This window comes from Homo sapiens, chromosome 2 (assembly GCF_000001405.40).
Source record: "Homo sapiens chromosome 2, GRCh38.p14 Primary Assembly".
Taxonomy (NCBI): domain Eukaryota; kingdom Metazoa; phylum Chordata; class Mammalia; order Primates; family Hominidae; genus Homo; species Homo sapiens.
This window is the reverse complement of record NC_000002.12, coordinates 231,575,492-231,594,313: the sequence shown is the minus strand read 5'-3', so window position 1 is coordinate 231,594,313 and position 18,822 is coordinate 231,575,492. Positions and strand designations below refer to the sequence as shown.

Genomic DNA, 18,822 nt, shown 5'->3' with positions numbered 1-18,822 from the left:
TCACTGCACCCCAAGGGAGGAGGCTGGTGCTTAGAAATAAATGCTCACTGGTGATTTATTGCATGGGCTGGGGGAACCGTCCAGAGCAAGAATGGGCAAGGGAGCAGGGCGTGAGGGTCCCAGGGATCTCTGGAGGCCACTGAACCAGCCCTTCGGGGGTCCCTGTGCAGGGCTCTAATCATAGTTGGGGTCAGCCTGGGCCTGGCGTGGGGTGAGGTGGCTGGTCAGGTAGCGCATGGCTGAGCGGATGCCCTCCACGGTCCTCTGCTCCACTGTCTCCAGCACACGGGTGATGGTGCGCAGGGCTGAGCTGGTCCCTGACACCAGCCCAGAGGAGAAGGCCGAGCTGACGCTTCCCACCAGGCTGGGGACCGAGCGCAAGCTGGGCCCCGAGCTGTGCAGCAGGTCTGCCACAGTGCTGTGGCCGGAATCCAGGAAGCCTGTGGCTATGGCCATGCCCATGGTGGTCTCGGACCACACCAGGATGTCTGCCAGGGAGCTGATGGAGCCCTCGCCCCTGTCCAGCAGGCTGGTCATGGAGCGCATGTAGCTGTTCTCCTCACTGGCCGTGTACAGGCTGGAGTCCAGGGGCCTTCTCCCCAGGGCCACCTCGTGGGGGCCAGGCGACGGGGACACACTGCCTGCTGGAGGTGGAGGGAAGAACCAAGTCTGCAGGTCTCCTAAGCTGTCCACCACATTTGCCCCCATTGCCACTGGGGACTCATCAGATGGTAAAGCTTCAGCTTCAGGGTGTGGGGCCTTTGGATGCTCAGCTTTCTCCTCAGCAGACTTGGTGGTGCTGGCAGCCTGAGGGCCATGCTGGCCATTGGCACCTGCTGTGACATGGTCAGCATCACTCTCGACGGGCTGAGCCTCCATGTGCTGGGTGGACTGTAGCTCAGCACTCGGGGCAGAGGGGGCTGACTCCGGCTCTCTCTCAGGAACACTCGCCATTTGTGACATCTTGTCTTTACCCAGGAGGTGACTTGGGAAAACCACTAGACTCTGACTTGTCCTTGCGTCTTGAACCTGCCTGTCCCACGCTGGATTCTGAAGGCTCATAGACACTTGCAGGGGACTTGGATTTTGGCTGGGAAGCAGAGGTGTGATTTTTCTGGGTGTCTTCTGGCCGTGTTCTGGAACAACTGCACTCTTGTCTTTGTCTCCAGATGTTGATATGGCCCTGGGGGTGGCCGTCTTGAAGGAGGCCTGATCTATATCCTGCCAGTCAGTGGATGCGACAGAGCTGCTCACTGCCAAGACATCTGCTGTGAGTGGGACCTGACCTTGGGGCTCTCCTGCTGGGCTGTCCTTAGACCTGCTGTCATCCACGTTGCCCAGGGGGTACCCTGGGAGTGCCATGTATGGGGCTGCTGGTGGAGCCGGCCTCCCCCTAGGGCTCTCCTGTGGTCATCTATGCCCTTTGCTGCTTGTGGCGGTTGGAGGGAGTGGCTGCAACCCAGCTGGGCTGAGTTGTCCAAGTGGTGAGGTCACAAGGGACTGTGGCCACTGGTGATGTCACAGGTACCCATAGAGCAAGGGTCTTGAGCTTCTGGAGCAGCCTTCCAAGTGGGCTAAGTCTATGGGACAGTTTGTTGCCAACTTTGCAGGTACATAGGGAAAAAATGACAAATGTTCTTGAAAGGGCTGGAGGCGTGTGCACAGGGGCAAGTACAACCACAGGGACACAGGAGGAGTGACAGCTGTGACTCTGACAAATGAGAAGGGATGCAGATGTTGATTTAGAACAGTGTTTATAAGGGACCCCTCCTGGCACCTCTCTGTCTACACTGGTGCCTCAAGACCCCAATTTAGGCTGGGCATGGTGGCTCACTCCTGTAATCCCAGCACTCTGGGAGGCTGAGGTGGGGGGATCACCTGAGGTCAGGAGTTCGAGACCAGCCTGGCCAACATGGTGAAACCCTGTCTCTACTAAAAATGCAAAAAGTAGCCGGGCGTATTGGCGTGCACCTGTAATCCCAGCTACTGGGGAAGCTGAGGCAGAAGAATTGCTCGAACCCAGGGAGTGGAGGTTGCAGTGAGCCGAGATCGCACCATTGCACTCCAGCCTGGGCAAAAGCGTACTCCGTTTCAAAACAAATAAACAAACAAAACAACAACAACAACAAACAACAACAAATAACCACCCCCAATTTAGTCAGTGTTCCTGCAGGGAATCAGTTTCCCAGCAGTGGTGAGTAGGTATAAGCAAAAGCCAAGGGCCTGGGCAGCTCCATTTGTGGCTGTGGGTTTAACCCTTTTGATGTAGGGCAAAAATCTCTATCTTCTCCTTGCTCATCTGGACTAGAAGGGCAGAGAATAACAAAAGGTCTGCAGACCTCTGAGTGTTTCTTGGAGAAGGATAACCCCAGATACACCTACTTGTGCTTAGCTGGGCACGGTGGCTCATGCCTGTGATCCCAGCACTTTGGGAGGCTGAGGCGGGCAGATCATCTGAGGTCAGGAGTTTGAGACCAGCCTGACCAACATGGAGAAACCCCGTCTCTACTAAAAATACAAAATTAGCTGGGCGTGGTGGCACATGCCTGTAATCCCAGCTGCTCGGGAGGCTGAGGCAGGAGTATCGCTTGAACCCCGGGAGGCGGAGGTTGTGGTGAGCCGAGATCGCACCATCGCACTCCAGCCTGGGCAACAAGGGCGAAACTCTATCTCAAAAAAAAAAAAAAAAAATGCCTACATTAAGAAGATGTTTGGAGAGGAAGGCTCAGTCGGTCGTGTCTGTGCTTCTCCAGGGGTTATCAGCTAACATTTAGTGACTGCTTATGGGCAGAAAAGGGCGCATAGCATCCTTCTCATCACCCATCACCTCTGGGTAGGTACGGTTCTACTAGTATACTCAGTTTACACACAGGCATGCTGAGCCTCACAGAGAATAAGCGACTTACTCAAAGCCACACTATTAATAAGAGCTGAATCTGGGATTTGAACCCTGTCTGGCTTCAATACTAAGCTTTCCAGCACTCTCTCATACCCAGGAGGGATATTAAAAACGTTGAATGAGGGACTGGGCATGGTGGCTCATGCCTGTAATCCCAGAACTTTAAAAGGCCAAGGTGGGAGGATCGCTTGAGCCCAGGAGTTCAAGACCAGCCTGGGCAACGTAGTATGACCCTGTCTCTACAAAAAATAAAACAAAAATTAGCTGGGCATGGTGGTGTGCACCTGTAGCCCCAGCTACTGGGGAGGCTGAGGCCCAGGAGGAGGATTTCTTGAGCTCAGGAGTTCCAGGCTGCAGTGAGCTGTGATCACATCATTGCATCCCAGCCCGGGTGACGGAGCGAGATCCTGTGCCTTAAAAAAGAAAAAAGATATATCTAATGACTGGCATGGTAATGATGCTGGCAGATGCAGACAGAGGCCTCCCATTAGAACCGGTTCCACCACACCAGCAGGTGACAGCTGCTGCCAGTGCTGGGCTGCACCATCAGCAGCATGGTCATGAGTGTATGGAAAATTCCCCTCCCTGAAACTCTCTGCCCTTGTCCTCTATCCTGCTGCCTCTCCGGGCTGGCTCCCTCCCTCCTCCACCTCTCCCAGGATCAGGCCTTCCCTTCACACTCCTTTTACTGACTCCGCCCAGCCAGCCTCCACCTTAACCCTCTGAGGCTGGCGGCACTACTGACACCAGGCTCCTTGCTCACTAAGTGTTTATTTTCCCCGCAGATACCCTGCCGCCACCTCAGAGGTCACAGGGCAAACCCAGGCTTGTTGGAGTGTGAGGGGCCGATGAGTACAGCCTGTAGCTTGTAAAGGAGTCCTGGAGAGAATGGTGGCTGCCCATCCCAGATGACCTTCTTCCTTAGTGTCAGACAATTGCTAAATAGAAATTATAGGAGGCTACTGCTTCGGATGAGGCTCCTGCACCAGGCCCCAGCAGACTGGACTAAACGTCAAGATGGGGTCACTCACACTGAGGTTCCAAATCACCGGGAGACAGAGATGATTGCCAGTTTCCCAAATGGGCCAGTTTCTTTTTTCTTTTTTTTTTTTTTTGAGGTAGAGTCTTGCTCTGTTGCCTTGGTTGGAGTGCAGTGGCGTGATCTCAGCTCACTGCAACCTCTGCCTCCCGGGTTCAAGCGATTCTTTTTCCTCAGCTCAAGCTGGTCTCGAACTCCTGGCCTCAGGTGATCCACCCATCTCAGCCTCCCAAAGTGCTGGGATTACAGATGTGAGCCATCTCGCCCGGTATTTTTTTTTTTTTTTTTGAGACAGCATCTTGCTCTGTGGCCTTGGCTGGAGTTCAGTGTGTGATCCCAACTCCGAGCTGAAGCAATTCTCTTACTTCAGCCTCCCAAGTAGCTGGGAATACAGGCACATTCTAGCACACCTAGTTAATTTTGTTTTTACTTTTTGTAAAGATGGAATTTCACCATGTTGCCCAGGCTGGTCCCGAACTCCTGGGCTCAAGGAATCTGCCCACTTCAGCCTCCCAAAGTGCTGACATGACAGAAACAGGCCAGTTTCAATCTTCAAGTGGCACGATAATGAAGTTCCCTCCGTTTTAATTTTTTTTCTTCTGTCTTGAACTCCTGGGCTCAAGCACTCCTCCAGCCTCAGCCTCCTGAGTAGCTGGGACTATAGGTACGTGCCAACATGTCCGGCTATTTTTTAAATTCTTTGTAGAGATGGGATTTCGCCATGTTGCTCAGCTTGGTTTCTAACTCCTGGGCTCAAGCGAACCTCTCACCTCCCAAGTGCTGGGATTATAGGTGTGAGCCACTGCACCTAGCCTGGTTTTTGTTTTTAGTTTCTGCTTTTTTCCACCCTCTTCCTGTCTATAAAGCCAACTTTCACTGCTTGATTCATTGGAACCCTTATTCTATTTTAGGAAATCAAGTGTTGCCTGATTCTAGAATCACAAAGCCAATTGAGAGCTTTAAACTAAACTTGTAATTTTGTCTTTTGACACTTAGTGTCAGGACCCTGATTTTATTCAGGGCCTCTGTGTCTTAGCTAAAAGAACACATTTCCCAGCCTCCTTTGCAGGTAGGTAAGAACATGTGACCATGTTCTGGCCATTGAGAAGTAAGCAGAAAGTATTGAGTCGAACTTCAGAAAGGATCCTTCAAAGAGTTTAACATCTTTTTGCTCTTCCCCCTATCAGGAATGTGAAGGCTGGAGCAACAGCAACCCTCTTGGTCCAGCAAGAGGACTGGTCTAGCAACCCTCTAGGTAATCTTGAGGGTGGAAGGCACACAGTAAGAGGGTGGACCAAGCAAGGATGGAAGGACCCTGGGTCCCATGATTGGAGCTGTCCGGCAGCCACCAGACCAGACTATCGCCAACCTCTCAAATTCCTTTATGTGAGGGAAAATAACACTATATGTGCCCAAATGATTATTTTTGGTTTTCTATTACATGCAGCTAAACGTAATCCTAATCCAATTCTAACAGTTATGAGATCCCTGTCAAGTGGTTGGTCCGTGTTTGCTTGAATATCTTCCAGTCCTAAACAATCAAGAGTAGCATATGGCACTGAGTGTCAGTAGGCCTGACGCTGGGCAGGGGTTATTTCCCCATTTTTCAGATGAGGAAACTGAGGCTTAGAGAAGCCAAGCACATAGCAAGGTCAGTGGCATCTGCCTGACTCCAAAGCCCCACACCCCACACAGCTCCCTGCTTTTAGTTAGAAAGTTCTCCCCGCTCCCTATCTTTACCCAGGAAATAAAAACCTATATATGACTTAATTTTTTTTTTTTTTTGAGATGGAATCTCACTCTGTCACCCAGGCTGGAGTGCAGTGGCACGATCTCAGTTCACTGCAACCTCCGGCCCCCGGGTTCAAGCGATTCTCCTGCCTCAGCCTTCCAAGTAGCCGGGATTACAGGCGCCTGTCACCGAGCCTGGCTAATTTTTGTATTTTTAGTAGAGACGGGGTTTCACCATCTTGGCCAGGCTGGTCTTGAACTCCTGACCCGTGATCCACCTGCCTCTGCCTCCCAAAGTGCTAGGATTACAGACGTGAGCCACTGTGCCTGGCTGACTTAATGTTTTGTTGTACATTAGACTGTGAAATAATCACTACAATCAAGCTAATTAACATATCCCTCACCTCGTATAGTTTCCATCTCCCTCCCTCCCTCCCTCCTTCCCCCACCCTCCTTCCTTCCTCCCTCCCTCTTTCTTTTCTTTTTTCTTTCCCTTCCCTTCCCTTCCCTTCCTTTCCCTTCCCTTCCTTTCCCTTCCCTCCTTTTCCCTCCTCTTCTCTTCTCTTTTCTTTCTCTTTCTTTCCTCTTCCCCCTTCTCTCTTTTTTCTTGTTTTCTTTCAACAGGGTCTCACTATGTTGCCCAGGCTGGAGTACAGTGGTACAATCATAGCTCACTGCAGCCTTGACCTCCTGGGCTCAAGGGATCCTCCCACCTCAGCCTCTGAGTAGTTGGGACTACAGGTGTGTGCACCATGGCTGGCTGATTTTTAAATATTTTGTAGAGATGGAGTCTCACTATGTTGCCCAGGATGGTCTTGAACTTCTGGGCTCAAGCAATCTGCCTGCCTTGGCCTCCCAAAATGCTGGGATTACAAGCATGAGCCACCGCACCTGGCCATTTTCTTTCTTTCTTACTTTGTGTGTGTGTGTTGAGAATAGAAAGTTTCTGATGTCCCCTCATGTGGCCCACTAAAACCATCATGCACCTTATAGGCACCAAGGACAAACTCTGTATTTGGAATTCAGCTTTTGATTCTACATGTTGCACTTTATGTTGACCCTTGTTACATTTCATATGCTTGGGCCAGGCATGGTGGCTCACGCCTGTAATCCTAGCACTTTGGGAGGCCGAGGCGGGTGGATCACCTGAGATCAGGAGTTTGAGACCAGCCTGACCAACGTGGATAAACCCCATTTTACTAAAAATACAAAATTAGCTGGGCTTGGTGGTGCACCTGTCATTCCAGCTACTCAGGAGACTGAGGCAGGAGAATTGCTTGAACCTGGAAGGCGGAGGTTGTGGTGAGCCGAGGTTGCACCATTGCACTCCAGCCTGGGCAACAAGAGTGAAACTTCATCTCAAAAAAAAAAAAAGTTTCATATGCTTGAAAATCGTGCCCAAGGAAGGCTACAGTGGAATGAATAGGCACTGATGTCAAAGGCAGAGAGATTTATTAAAATTGGGGAACAAAAAATAAAGGATTATTTATTTGTAAATAAATATTAAATGAGATCAGTATAGAACAAAATATATTTATTCTGTTATGTGGACAATATATATTTTAGATATATTCTGTACATAAATAAAATACAAAATAAAATATATATGAAAGTTTTCTCCATCTTAGTTAAAAACTTTCCTACTTTTATTTTTTTTTTTCTGGTGAAAAGATATATATATATTTAGAATTAGCCAGCTGGACTCAGTTTAGATGATCCCTTTTTTTTTTTTTGAGATAGAGTTTCACTCTTGTTGCTCAGACTGGAGTGCAATGGCGCGATCTTGGCTCACCGTAACCTCCTCCTCCCGAGTTCAAGTGATTCTTCTGCCTCAGCCTCCCGAGTAGCTGGGATTACAGGCATGCGCCACCACGTCCAGCTAATTTTGTATTTTTAGTGGAGATGGGGTTTCTCCATGTTGGTCAGGCTGTTCTCAAACTTTTGACCTCAGGTGATCCGCCCGCCTCAGCCTCCCAAAGTGCTGGGATTACAGGCGTGAGCCACCGCGCCTGGCTTTTTTTTTGTTTTTTTTGAGACAGAGTCTTGCTCTATGGCCCAGGCTGGAGTGCAGTGATGTGATCTCAGCTCACTGAAACCTCTGCCTCCTGGGTTCAAGTGATTCTTCTGTTTTAGCCTCCTGAGTAGCTGGGACTACAGGAGCGCACCACCACACCTGGCTTATTTTCTTGTATTTTTAATAGAGACAGGGTTTTGCCATGTCGGCCAGGCTGGTCTCAAACTCCTGACCTCAGGTGATCCACTCTCCTCGGCCTCCCGAAGTGCTGGGATTATAGGTGTGAGCCACCGTGCCCAACCACATGATCTCATTTTTGTTGGCAACATCCAAAGCATCATAATCAGCAGCCAGTTGAACATATGCCTTCTTCTCTCCATCAGGCCTATTCAGGGTGTTGACCACTGCCACGTCGATGTCATAGAGCTTCTTCACAGCCTGTTTGATCTGGTGCTTGTTGGCTTTAACATCCACAATGAACACAGTGTGTTGTTGTCGTCTGTCTTCTTCGTGGCCAACTCAGTGGTCAGCGGAAACTTGATGATAACACAGTGGCCAAGCTTATTTCTCCCAGGGATGCTCTTCTGGGAATATCTGGGCCGCCTCCAGAGTCGCAGTGTCTTGGGCCGCTGGAAGGTGGGTGACGTGCAGATCTTTTTTTTGTGGCTGTGGATACCTTTCAGCTCTGCCTTCTTGGCCTTCAAAGCCTTTGCTTTGGCTTCAGCTTTAGGAGGGGCAAGAGCTTCCTTCTTTGCCTTTGGCATCATCTTGTAAAAAGAGTTCTCTACCTTTATTAAGTAGTTCTCATAAGAGGAAATTCGTCTCAAATAATTTGCCTTTGCTTTCTTTTCAATTCCTTTCTCTCTCTCTCTCTTTTTTTTTTTTTTTTTTTTTTTTTTTTTGAGATGGAGTCTCACTCTGTCACCCAGGCTGGAGTGCAGTGGCATGATCTCGGCTCACTGCAACCTCTGCCTCCCAGGTTCAAGCGATTCTCATGCCTCAGCCTCCCAAGTAGCTGGGACTACAGGCATTTGCCACCACACCTGGCTAATTTTTTTTTTTTTTGAGATGAAGTCTTACTCTTGTCCCCCAGGTTGCGGGCTGGAGTGCGGTGGCGTGAGTGATCTTGGCTCACTGCAACCTCTGCCTCCTGGGTTCAGGCAACTCTCCTGCCTCAGCCTCCCAAGTAGCTGGGATTACGGGTACCTGCCACCATGCCCGGCTAATTTTTGTATTTTTAGTTGACATGGGGTTTTGCCATGTTGGCCAGGCTGGTCTCGAACTCTTGACCTCAAGTGATCCGCCTGCCTCAGCCTCCCAAAGTGCTGGGATTTACAAGCATGAGCCACCGTGCCTGGCCCTCAACTCCTTTCTCTTGGGGAGAATGACTCTCGAATTAAATAATTAAATACTCTTATTTTAGGGTAAACTCAGTTTATGGAATATTATGAAGCTGTATAAAGCCTGTACAGAAACATGGAAAAAGATTGTTATATAATGTTACTTTAAAAAGCAGGAGGTTGGGCGTGGTGGCTCACACTTGTAGTCCCAGCACTTTGGGAGGCCAAGGCGGGAGGATTATTTGAGTCCGGGTGTTCGAGGCTACAGTGAGCTGTAATTGCACCACTGCACTCCAGCCTAGGCAACAGAGTGTGACCCCATCTCAAAAAATAAGGCTAGATATGGTGGTTCATGCCTGCAATCCCAGCATGTGGGAGGCCAAGGTGGGTGGAAGGAGACCAGCCTGGGTAACATGAAGAAACCCCATCTCTCCAACAACAACAAAATTAGCCGGACGTGGTGGTGTGCACCTGCGGTCCCAGCTCCTCTGGAGGCTGAGGTGGGAGGGAGGATCACTTCAGCCTGGGAGGTAGAGGTTGCAGTGAACTGAGATCATGCTACTGCACTCTAGCCTGGGTAACATTTATTACTGCGTCAATAAATAAATAGATAAATAAATAAAATTAAAATACGAAAATAAAAAAATTAGGACCAGGTGTGGTGGCATGCACCCATAGTCCCAGCTACTCAGAAGGCTGAGGCAGGAGGATCACTTGACCTGGGAGGTTGAGGCTGCAGAGAGCTAGGATAGCACCAATGCACTCTAGCCTGGGAAACAGGGTGAGAACCTGTCTCAAAAAATAAAATATTTTAAAAAGCAGGATGCAATATTTTATGCACACTATGTGTATTTATTTGCCCATACTCTTTCAGCTGGAAGCTATAGAAACCCAAATCAAATTGACTTCTGCAAAAATAACAAAAATCAAGAAATTTCTTGGCTCACAGGAACCTGTAAAGCCTGGAGGAAAGGGTCTACACAGCAGGTGCTCATGACGCTGTCAGGGATTCGGTTCTTTCTCTTCTCTTTGCTCCCTTTGTCATTGATGGCTAGATTTTCAGGGGGATTTCCTCCATGCGGAGGCTGCTAGCGCTCCAGGCATCCTTCCTAACAGCTCAGGCCAGTTCAAAGAGATGCTGGTCCCCTGCGGTTTCGGCAAATCTCGGGACAGGATCGTGGGCTCCTGGCGTGTCTCAGAAGCAATTACTACAGCATCCTGATTGCTCAGGCCTGGGTCATGCAACCACTCCTGATGTGGTTGCGGGGGGGGTGCGGCCCCACCCTAACATAAGGCCTGTGGAAGGTAGTGGAATCATTCCCAGGAGGAAAACTGGGGTGCTGTTACCAAAAGAAGGTGAACTGTGAACTGGATGCTGGGCTGGAAACATAAACTCCACTAAATGATAATGACAGACATGTGCAAGAAAGGCTGTTTATTGGGGGAAAGCCTGGCAGGAAATAGAGCAAAATGTCCGGAAGAAGTTCTGATTATTGTTAACAAAATCAGAAAACAGGGCCGGGCGCGGTGGCTCATGCCTGTAATCCCAGCACTTTGGGAGGCCGAGGTGGGTGGATCACTTGAGGTCAGGAGTTCAAGACCAGCCTGGCCAACCTGGTGAAACCCCGTCCCTACTAAAAATACAAAAATTGGCTGGTGTGGTGGTGGGCGCCTGTAATCCCAGCAACTCGGGAGGCTGAGGCACGAGAATGGCTTGAACCTGGGAGGCAAAGTTTGCAGTGAGCCGAGATCGCACCACCGCACTCCAGCCTGGGCAACAGAGTGAGACTCTGTCTCAAAAAAAAAAAAAAAAAAAAAAAAAATCAGAAGACACATAGAAGCAAAAATGACTACCTATAAATAAAAATTTAAATCACCCTAAGAAATATGGTGGACTGAGTGAGTGGGAAGCCTGCTATCTCAGTGCACACACACATACCCCCTCACACACATTCTCACTCTCTTCAAACACACAGAAATGCTGGATAAAATGTGGTCCACAGTAGGTTAAATACCTAGCTGAGCTAGAAAGAATGGGAGACCCCCATGTTCCAGAAGGGTGGACTTAGACAGGGGTGTCCCTGTGAAGACAGAGCCATGGCCTCAGGGTGCCATCCAGATTGCCGTGTGTGGAGCATTTAGCAAACAAGCGGGGCCCTGGGTGGGCTGGCTGAGAGGGGAGAGTCCACTTCGAGAATCCAGCGAGGTGCTGCCCACCAAACTGGAGAGGGGCAAGGCTGTCCTCTCAGTCCAGGCCCTGAGTGGGGCTGAAAGCCTAAGACAGTGGAAGGAAGCTTCTGCTTGTCGTGCAGACGCTGGTGGAAGCAGCTGCCCTCTTAGAACCACGGACCTACTGGGGACACCCAGCAAAGTCCCCAGCCCCACAGAGCTGTGCGTGGTGTGTGTTGCAGTCGGCTGGCGGCCGGTGATTGTGCATCTCTGTGCCCAACTTGGAGTTCAGTGTCGTCAGCTTTGGTGGAATTATTTTCACCACTGAAAGTGGCTACAAATCAGGGCTGTTCCCCCACAACGAATCACGGTTTCCCCGCACAGCATTGAGTCTGATTATGCTCTTTCTCCCAGTGGGGTGGCTGTTTGCTCTGCCCTCTGAAGGGGGCAACCCTCAGGGTTCCCTGTGGAGGAGGACCACACCCCACGACTCCCCAGAGTCCCACAGAGCAAGGCATTCTAGTTTTGTGGCTAACATGTGGCCTTTGGAGCTGGCTGTCTGGGTTCAAATCCTGTCTTTGCTATAGCTAGCTGTGTAATGTAAGGCAAGTTACTTAACACCTCTGTGCCTCAGTTCCCCTAACTGTAAAATGGATATAATAATAGTCCTTACCTTTGGTGTAATACAAAGTATATATTTGGTCTTTGTCCCAGGTCCCTGGCACAGAACTCCAAAAACCTTTGAAATTTCTTTTTATTTTTTGAGACAGAGTCTCGCTTTGCTGCCCAGACTGCAGTGCAGTGGTGCAATCTCGGCTCACTGCAGCCTCCGCCTCCCCGGCCCAGGCTGGTCTTGAACTCCAGGCTTCCAGTAATCTGCCCATTTCGGCCTCCCAAAGTGCTGAGACAGGCCAACGCACCCGGCCTGACATTTTTTTTTTTTTAGACGGAGTCTTGTTTTGTCGCCCAGGCTGGAGGGCATCTTGGCTCACTGCAACCTCCACCTCCCGGGTTCAAGCAATTCTCCTGCCTCAGCCTCCCGAGTAGCTGGGACTACAGGCGCCCTCCACTATGCTCAGCTAATTTTTGTATTTTTAGCAGAGATGGGGTTTCACCATGTTGGTCAGGCTGGTCTCGAACTCCTGACCTCAGGTGATCCGCCTGCCTCGGCCTCCCAAAGTGCTGGGATTACAAGTGTGAGCAACCATGCCTGGCCTGGCCTAACATTTCTTGAGTGATAGATAGGAGCATCTTTTTTTTTTTTTAAATAGAGACGAGTCTTGATGTCACCCAGGATGGATTGCAGCGACTATTCACAGGTGTGATCATAGTGCACTGTGCCTTTGAACCCCTGGCCTTAAATGATCCTCCAGTAACCCCCCGCAACGAGTTCGCCTTGCCTGCTGCCTAGACAAAGCCAATTTCAAGACAGGGAAATTGCAATAGAGAAAGAGTAATTCACACACAGCCGGCTGTGCAGGAGACTAGAGCTTTATTATTACTCGATTAGTCTCCCTGAGCATTCAGGGATCAGAGTTTTAAAAGATAATTTGGTGGGTGGGGAGTTAGTGAGTCAGGATTGCTGATTGGTTGGGTCTGAGATGAAATCATAGGGATTCGAAGCTGTCCTCTTGCCCTGAGTCAGTTCCTGGGTGGTGGCCACAAGATTAGATGAGCCAGCTTATCGATCTGTGTGGTGCCAGCTGATCCATCAAGTGCAGGGTCTGCAAGATATCTCAAGCACTGATCTTAGGTTTTACAATAGTGATGTTATTCCCAGTAGCAATGTGGGAAGGGTCAGAATCTTGTAGCCTCCAGCTGCATGACTCCTAAACCATAATTTCTAACCTTTTGGCTAATTTGTTAGTCCTACAAAAGCAGTCTAGTCCCCAGGCAAGAAGGAGGTTCATTTTGGGAAAGGGCTGTTACTGTCTTTGTTGTAAACTGTAAACAAAGCTCCTCCTAAAGTTAGGAATGAACAAGGACAGCTTGGAGGTTAGAAGCAAGATGGAGTTGGTTAGGTCAGATCTCTTTCAGTGTCTCAGTTATAATTTTGCAGTGGCAGTTTCACTCCCACCTCAACTGGGACTATAGGCACCTGCCACCGGGTTGGAGATAGGAATGTCTTTTGTTATTCATAAGAAGCCCCTTTGACCATATCTTAGTTTATGCTAATGAGGTGACTCTTGATAGGGCCTCCCCACCCCATAGCTTCAGGATGGGGCTGGTCACCACAGGAACCAACCACCTTGATGAGAAGAGGGTTGGTGCAACTTCAGCACCCCTGTGCCCCGCGTCCTCCCCCTTCCTCCAGGAGGCTGGAGAATGAGTTTGGTTACCAGTAGCCAACGATTTAATCAATCATGCCTCCCCAGTGAAAACTTCAGCAACGAGGTTTGGGGAGTTTCTGGGTTGCTGAATACATCCATGTGTGGGGAGTAAGGCCACCCCAGCTCCACAGGGACAGAGGCTCTCTTCTTCTTCCTCTTCTTCCTCCTCCTCCTCCCCCTCCTCCTCCTCCTCCCTCTTCTTCTTCTTCTTCTTCTTCTTCTTCTTCTTCTTCTTCTCCTCCTTCTTCTTCTTCTTCTCCTTCTTCTTCTTCTCCTCCTCCTGCTCCTCCTTCTCCTCTTCCTCTTCCTCCTTCTTCTTCTTCTTTTTCTTCTTTTGAGATGGAGTCTGGCTCTGTTTCCCAGGCTGGAGTACAGTGGCATGATCTCAGCTCACTGCAACCTCTGCCTTCCAGGTTCAAGTGATTCTCCTGCCTCAGCCTCCTGAGTAGCTGGGATTACAGGCGTGCACCACCACGCCTGACTACTTTTTGTATTTTTAGTAGAGATGGGGTCTCACCATGTTGGTCAGGCTGGTCTCAAACTCCTGACTTCAGGTGATCTGCCTGCCTTGGCCTCCCAAAGTGCTGGGATTATAGGCATGAGCCACCACATCTGGCCATTTGTGTCCTTTATAATACACCATAGTCATAAGTATATGTTTCTGAGTTCTATGAGTCGTTCTAGCAAATTATTGAACCTCAGCATGGCCGGGCAGAATTGCATATAGCCAGGGGACCCCATTTATGGCTGTCATCTGAAGCAGAACTAAGCCCCTTGGCCTCTGGACTCAGAGTCTGTGCTAACTCTGAGTAGTTATTGAAGGAATTGAATGGAATTGCAGAACACCCAGTTAGTGTCAGAGAACTGAAGAATTGGTTGTTTGGAAAAACCAAGCACTTCCCGAAAGCATTGTTGTGAGAATGCAAGGAGGTAATGGAGGTCACAGTGCCCTGGAGAGTGCTGGACAGCATGATGGTGGTGGTGATGGTAATGGTGATGGTGATGATGATGGTGACGGTGATGGTGATGGTGATGATGATGGTGATGGTGAAGATGATAGTGATGATGATGATGATGGTGATAATGATGGTGATGGTGATGGTAATGGTGATGGTGATGGTGAAGATGACAGTGATGATGATGATGACGGTGATGATAATGATGGTGATGGTGATGGTTGTGGTGGTGGTGATGGTGGTGATGGTAGGGGTGGTGTGAATATTATTGATGATGATGATGTTGATGCTGATGATGATGATGATGATGATGATGATGATGATGATGATGGTGATGATGATGATGATGTTGTTGATGATGATGATGGTTATTGTGATGATGATGATGATGATGATGATGATGATGATGATGATGATGATGATGATGTTGATGATGATGGAGATGATGATGATGATGATGATGATGATGATGATGATGATGATGATGATGATAATGATGGAGATGATGATGATGATGATGATGATGATGATGATGATGATGATGATGATGATGATGATGATGATGATGATGATGATGATGATGATGATGATGATGATGATGATGATGATGATGATGATGATGATGATGATGATGATGATGATGATGATGATGATGATGATGATGATGATGATGATGATGATGATGATGATGATGATGATGATGATGATGATGATGATGATGATGATGATGATGATGATGATGATGATGATGATGATGATGATGATGATGATGATGATGATGATGATGATGATGATGATGATGATGATGATGATGATGATGATGATGATGATGATGATGATGATGATGATGATGATGATGATGATGATGATGGTGATGATGATGGTGATGATGATGGTGATGATGATGATGATGGTGATGGTGATGGTGATGATGATGATGATAGTGATGACAATAATATTGATGATGGTGATGGTGATGATGATGGTGATGGGGATGGTGATGATGGTTCATCTCTTATGGACAGGCTGCCTACTGTCGAGAGCTCATGGATGATTTGTCCTTTGAAGGGTTTTCTCACCGGAAGCTCCACCATTGCCTGGTGTGAGTGGTTCATCCACAAGTGGCAGCCAAGAGCCTCCTGGCAGTGGCATCAGGTAGGTGGTGCCTATTGCACCCCAGAAGTCCTCCCAGCTCCAGATGTGAACACGTTTTCTTCCACTAGACAGCACAATGTTAAGCTCTGTAAATGCAAATCAATTAATTCTTCCAGCATCTTCATGAGGCAGGGCTTGCTGTTTTTCCAGATGTCTACAGATGAGGAAACCGAGGCCTGGAGAGGTTAAGGAGGCCTGTTCAAAGTCCTACAGTGGCGGCAGACAGGGTCTCATATGTTGCCCAGGCTTGTCTCAAACTCCTGGCCTCAAGAGAGCTTCCCGCCTTGGTCTCACAAAGTGCTGGGATTATATGTCTTTAATACAAAGCAGCTTTTACATTTAAAAAAAATAAAAGCGGGTCATGCCTGTAATCCCAGCACTTTGGGAGGCTGAGGCGGGCAGATCACGAGGTCAGGAGATCGAGACCATCCTGGCTAACATGGTGAAACCCCGTCTCTACTAAAAAAAATACAAAAAAGTAGCTGGGCGTGGTGGCGGGCACCTGTAGTCCCAGCTACTTGGGAGGCTGAGGCAGGAGAATGGCGCAAACCTGGGAGGCAGAGCTTGTAGTGAGCTGAGATCGCGCCACTGCACTCCAGCCTGGGCGACAGAGCAAGACTCCATCTCAAAAAAAAAAAAAAAGGGGGGGGGGGTGGAGTTTTCTCATCAAGTGAGCCCAAGATTCTCTCGTAGTGAACGTCTGCCTGTGGTGATATCCACAGCTAGGAGGGGACTGACAGAGCTGACATCCTTGCCCCCCGTCTTCAAACAAGGAATCGGAGACCCAGGGTGGGGGTGATCAGGGCAGAAGCAGAGCCCCATCTGTCCAGGCTCTTCACCCAAGGAAGCAGAGGAGGTGCTCCCAGCCTCGGCCCACTTTCCCACAGCCTCGCCCCACCCCTCCCCATCAAAGGATCCTCCAAGCCAGATAGCAGCCTGTAGGGGTGGGTTGCCCCTCCACACCTGTGGGTGTTTCTCGTAAGGTGGAACGAGAGAATTGGGAAAGAAAAAGACACAGAGACAAAGTATAGAGAAAGAAATAAGGGGACCCGGGGAACCAGCGTTCAGCATATGGAGGATCCCCCCAGCCTCTGAGTTCCCTTAGTATTTATTGATCATTTGTGGGTGTTTCTCGAAGAGGGGGATGTGTCAGGGTCACAAGACAATTGTGGGGAGAGGGTCAGCAGACAAACACGTGAACAAAGGTCTTTGCATCATAGACAAGGTAAAGGATTAAGTGCTGTGCTTTTAGATATGCATACACATAAACATCTCAATGCTTTACAAAGCAGTATTGCTGCCCGCAGGTCCCACCTCCAGCCCTAAGGCGGTTTTTCCCTATCTCAGTAGATGGAGCATACAATTGGGTTTTATACCGAGACATTCCATTGCCCAGGGACAGGCAGGAGACAGATGCCTTCCTCTTGTCTCAACTGCAAGAGACATTCCTTCCTCTTTTACTAATCCTCCTCAGCACAGACCCTTCCCGGGTGTCAGGCTGGGGTACGGTCAGGTCTTTCCCTTCCCACGAGGCCATATTTCAGACTATCACATGGGGAGAAACCTTGGACAATACCTGGCTTTCCTAGGCAGAGGTCCCTGCGGCCTTCCGCAGTTTTTGTGTCCCTGGGTACTTGAGATTAGGGAGTGGTGATGACTCTTAAGGAGCATGCTGCCCTCAAGCATCTGTTTAACAAAGCACATCTTGCACCGCCCTTAATCCATTCAACTCTGAGTTGACACAGCACATGTTTCAGAGAGCACGGGGTTGGGGGTAAGGTCACAGAATCTCAAGGCAGAAGAATTTTTCTTAGTACATAACAAAATGGAGTCTCCTATGTCTACTTCTTTCTACACAGACACAGTAACAATCTGATCTCTCTTGCTTTTCCCCACAGCAGCCTTCATGGGGAAGCAGGGGAGGAGGAGGGGCTGTGGATACTGCTATCTCCCTGTCTGTCCATGCCCTCCAGTGCTCACCCCAAGTGCCCCAGCCCCAGCATCCGGGAAGCGAGGTCTCAGGGCCCCTCTCCCAGCAAACCACCATGGCCTGCACAGGAGCCCTTTCTTCCTGGGTACCTGCTGTTAGCTTGTGGCCCCTCATTTTGAGGCTGGCCCTGCTGGGGCTGTGCCAACGGGCTGCTGCTCCACCATTTCACACGGTGACCTGGGTGCCATGTACTAGCCATCCTCTTCCTCCCCACAAAGAACACTGAGTTTCAGATATTTCAGGGGCCTGGCCCCAGTCTAGCTCCAGGGGTGGGTTCCTGTGGTCTCAGCCATTTCCCTGGGCATCACTGGCTCAGGCCCATGCTCAGGGCCTTCATGCAGTCCTGGCTGTGGAGTCGTGAGAGCAAGGGGAGGCTCCCTGGAGCCCGTGGGGGGTTTCCTCACTCATTAGGAGGCCTGGGAAGTCATGGTCTTCCTCTCCTCCTATAAATGATCATATCCAGTTAGGCCTCTTGTGACCATGAGGGCATCTGGTCTGAGAAAAGCCCTACATAGAGAATGGCCGAACCAGGGAGATTGCAGAAAAGCAGGGCAAAGCCTTGATCAAACTGCGCCTGCAGCCACCCAGCCACCGGACTTCCTGTGATGGGAGGTGATTGTTTCCATGTTGCTTCAGCCAGTTGAACCAGGGCTTCCTGTGACTATCCACCAAAGGGACCCTGAGAAACAGCAGCCCTAGCCTGAAAGTCACCCAGGGAACCTGAGTGGTGGGGCCCCACCACACTGCCTCTCTGGGAGCACTCTGGCTCCTCCGGCTGCCATGGCTGCAGCTCTCGGGTCACCTCCCTCCTGCTCTGGGTGCTGGAACCCTCCATCCCTAGACTCTTGCCTACACTGGTCCATAAATCACTCCCACAGGCCCCTCCCACACCCGTCTGCAGAGCCTTCCTTGGCACTGCCCCTCACCTATGGCCAGATTCCTCACTTAAATTCAGCATGGAAAGACTCAACATTCAAAAAAGCAAAAGCTGCCGTCCCCGACCCCCAGTCTACACTAGCGAACAGAGAATTGATGAACCGATTCAGTAAGTTGGCATCTGTAGTGGGATGAATTGAGGCCCCTAAAAGATAGATCCATATCCAAACTCCTGGGATGTATGAATGTGACTTTATTTGGACAAAATGGTCTTTGTAGATATAATTAAGTTGAGGATACCCCTGGGCATGGTGGCTAATGCC

The 18,822-nt window shown here is 49.6% G+C and overlaps 1 protein-coding gene and 1 pseudogene across 1 annotated transcript, besides 6 other annotated features; both read right to left on the bottom strand.

The window, feature by feature from the left end:
- Nucleotides 1-37: 37 nt before the first annotated feature.
- On the bottom strand, nt 38-1,450 carry TEX44 (testis expressed 44). The gene has a single exon (NM_152614.3). It carries the CDS (start codon nt 1,360-1,362, stop codon nt 175-177), a length of 1,188 nt encoding a protein of 395 aa, NP_689827.2. The 5' UTR covers nt 1,363-1,450; the 3' UTR covers nt 38-174.
- On the bottom strand, nt 7,331-8,464 carry RPL23AP26 (ribosomal protein L23a pseudogene 26; annotated as a pseudogene).
- Nucleotides 10,793-11,704: an enhancer, noted in NCBI's record as "H3K27ac-H3K4me1 hESC enhancer chr2:232447321-232448232 (GRCh37/hg19 assembly coordinates)". NCBI's record gives its function as "activates a minimal SCP1, AML or CMV promoter by ChIP-STARR-seq in naive H9 embryonic stem cells {active_cell/tissue: H9 hESC(naive)}" and the evidence as "EXISTENCE:reporter gene assay evidence [ECO:0000049][PMID:30033119]".
- Nucleotides 11,705-12,618: an enhancer, noted in NCBI's record as "H3K27ac-H3K4me1 hESC enhancer chr2:232446407-232447320 (GRCh37/hg19 assembly coordinates)". NCBI's record gives its function as "activates a minimal SCP1, AML or CMV promoter by ChIP-STARR-seq in naive H9 embryonic stem cells {active_cell/tissue: H9 hESC(naive)}" and the evidence as "EXISTENCE:reporter gene assay evidence [ECO:0000049][PMID:30033119]".
- Nucleotides 13,284-13,784: an enhancer, noted in NCBI's record as "H3K27ac hESC enhancer chr2:232445241-232445741 (GRCh37/hg19 assembly coordinates)". NCBI's record gives its function as "activates a minimal SCP1, AML or CMV promoter by ChIP-STARR-seq in primed H9 embryonic stem cells {active_cell/tissue: H9 hESC(primed)}" and the evidence as "EXISTENCE:reporter gene assay evidence [ECO:0000049][PMID:30033119]".
- Nucleotides 13,785-14,285: an enhancer, noted in NCBI's record as "H3K27ac hESC enhancer chr2:232444740-232445240 (GRCh37/hg19 assembly coordinates)". NCBI's record gives its function as "activates a minimal SCP1, AML or CMV promoter by ChIP-STARR-seq in naive H9 embryonic stem cells {active_cell/tissue: H9 hESC(naive)}" and the evidence as "EXISTENCE:reporter gene assay evidence [ECO:0000049][PMID:30033119]".
- Nucleotides 16,553-17,272: an enhancer, noted in NCBI's record as "NANOG-H3K27ac-H3K4me1 hESC enhancer chr2:232441753-232442472 (GRCh37/hg19 assembly coordinates)". NCBI's record gives its function as "activates a minimal SCP1, AML or CMV promoter by ChIP-STARR-seq in primed H9 embryonic stem cells {active_cell/tissue: H9 hESC(primed)}" and the evidence as "EXISTENCE:reporter gene assay evidence [ECO:0000049][PMID:30033119]".
- Nucleotides 16,922-17,216: a silencer, noted in NCBI's record as "tiled region #1477; HepG2 Repressive non-DNase unmatched - State 22:ReprW". NCBI's record gives its function as "represses a minimal TATA promoter and a strong SV40 promoter by Sharpr-MPRA in HepG2 cells {active_cell/tissue: HepG2}" and the evidence as "EXISTENCE:reporter gene assay evidence [ECO:0000049][PMID:27701403]".

Excerpts from the sequence above, each read along its gene's own strand:
- TEX44 (NM_152614.3), bottom strand. The coding sequence starts at position 1,362 with ATGGCACTCCCAGGGTACCCCCTGGGCAACGTGGATGACAGCAGGTCT.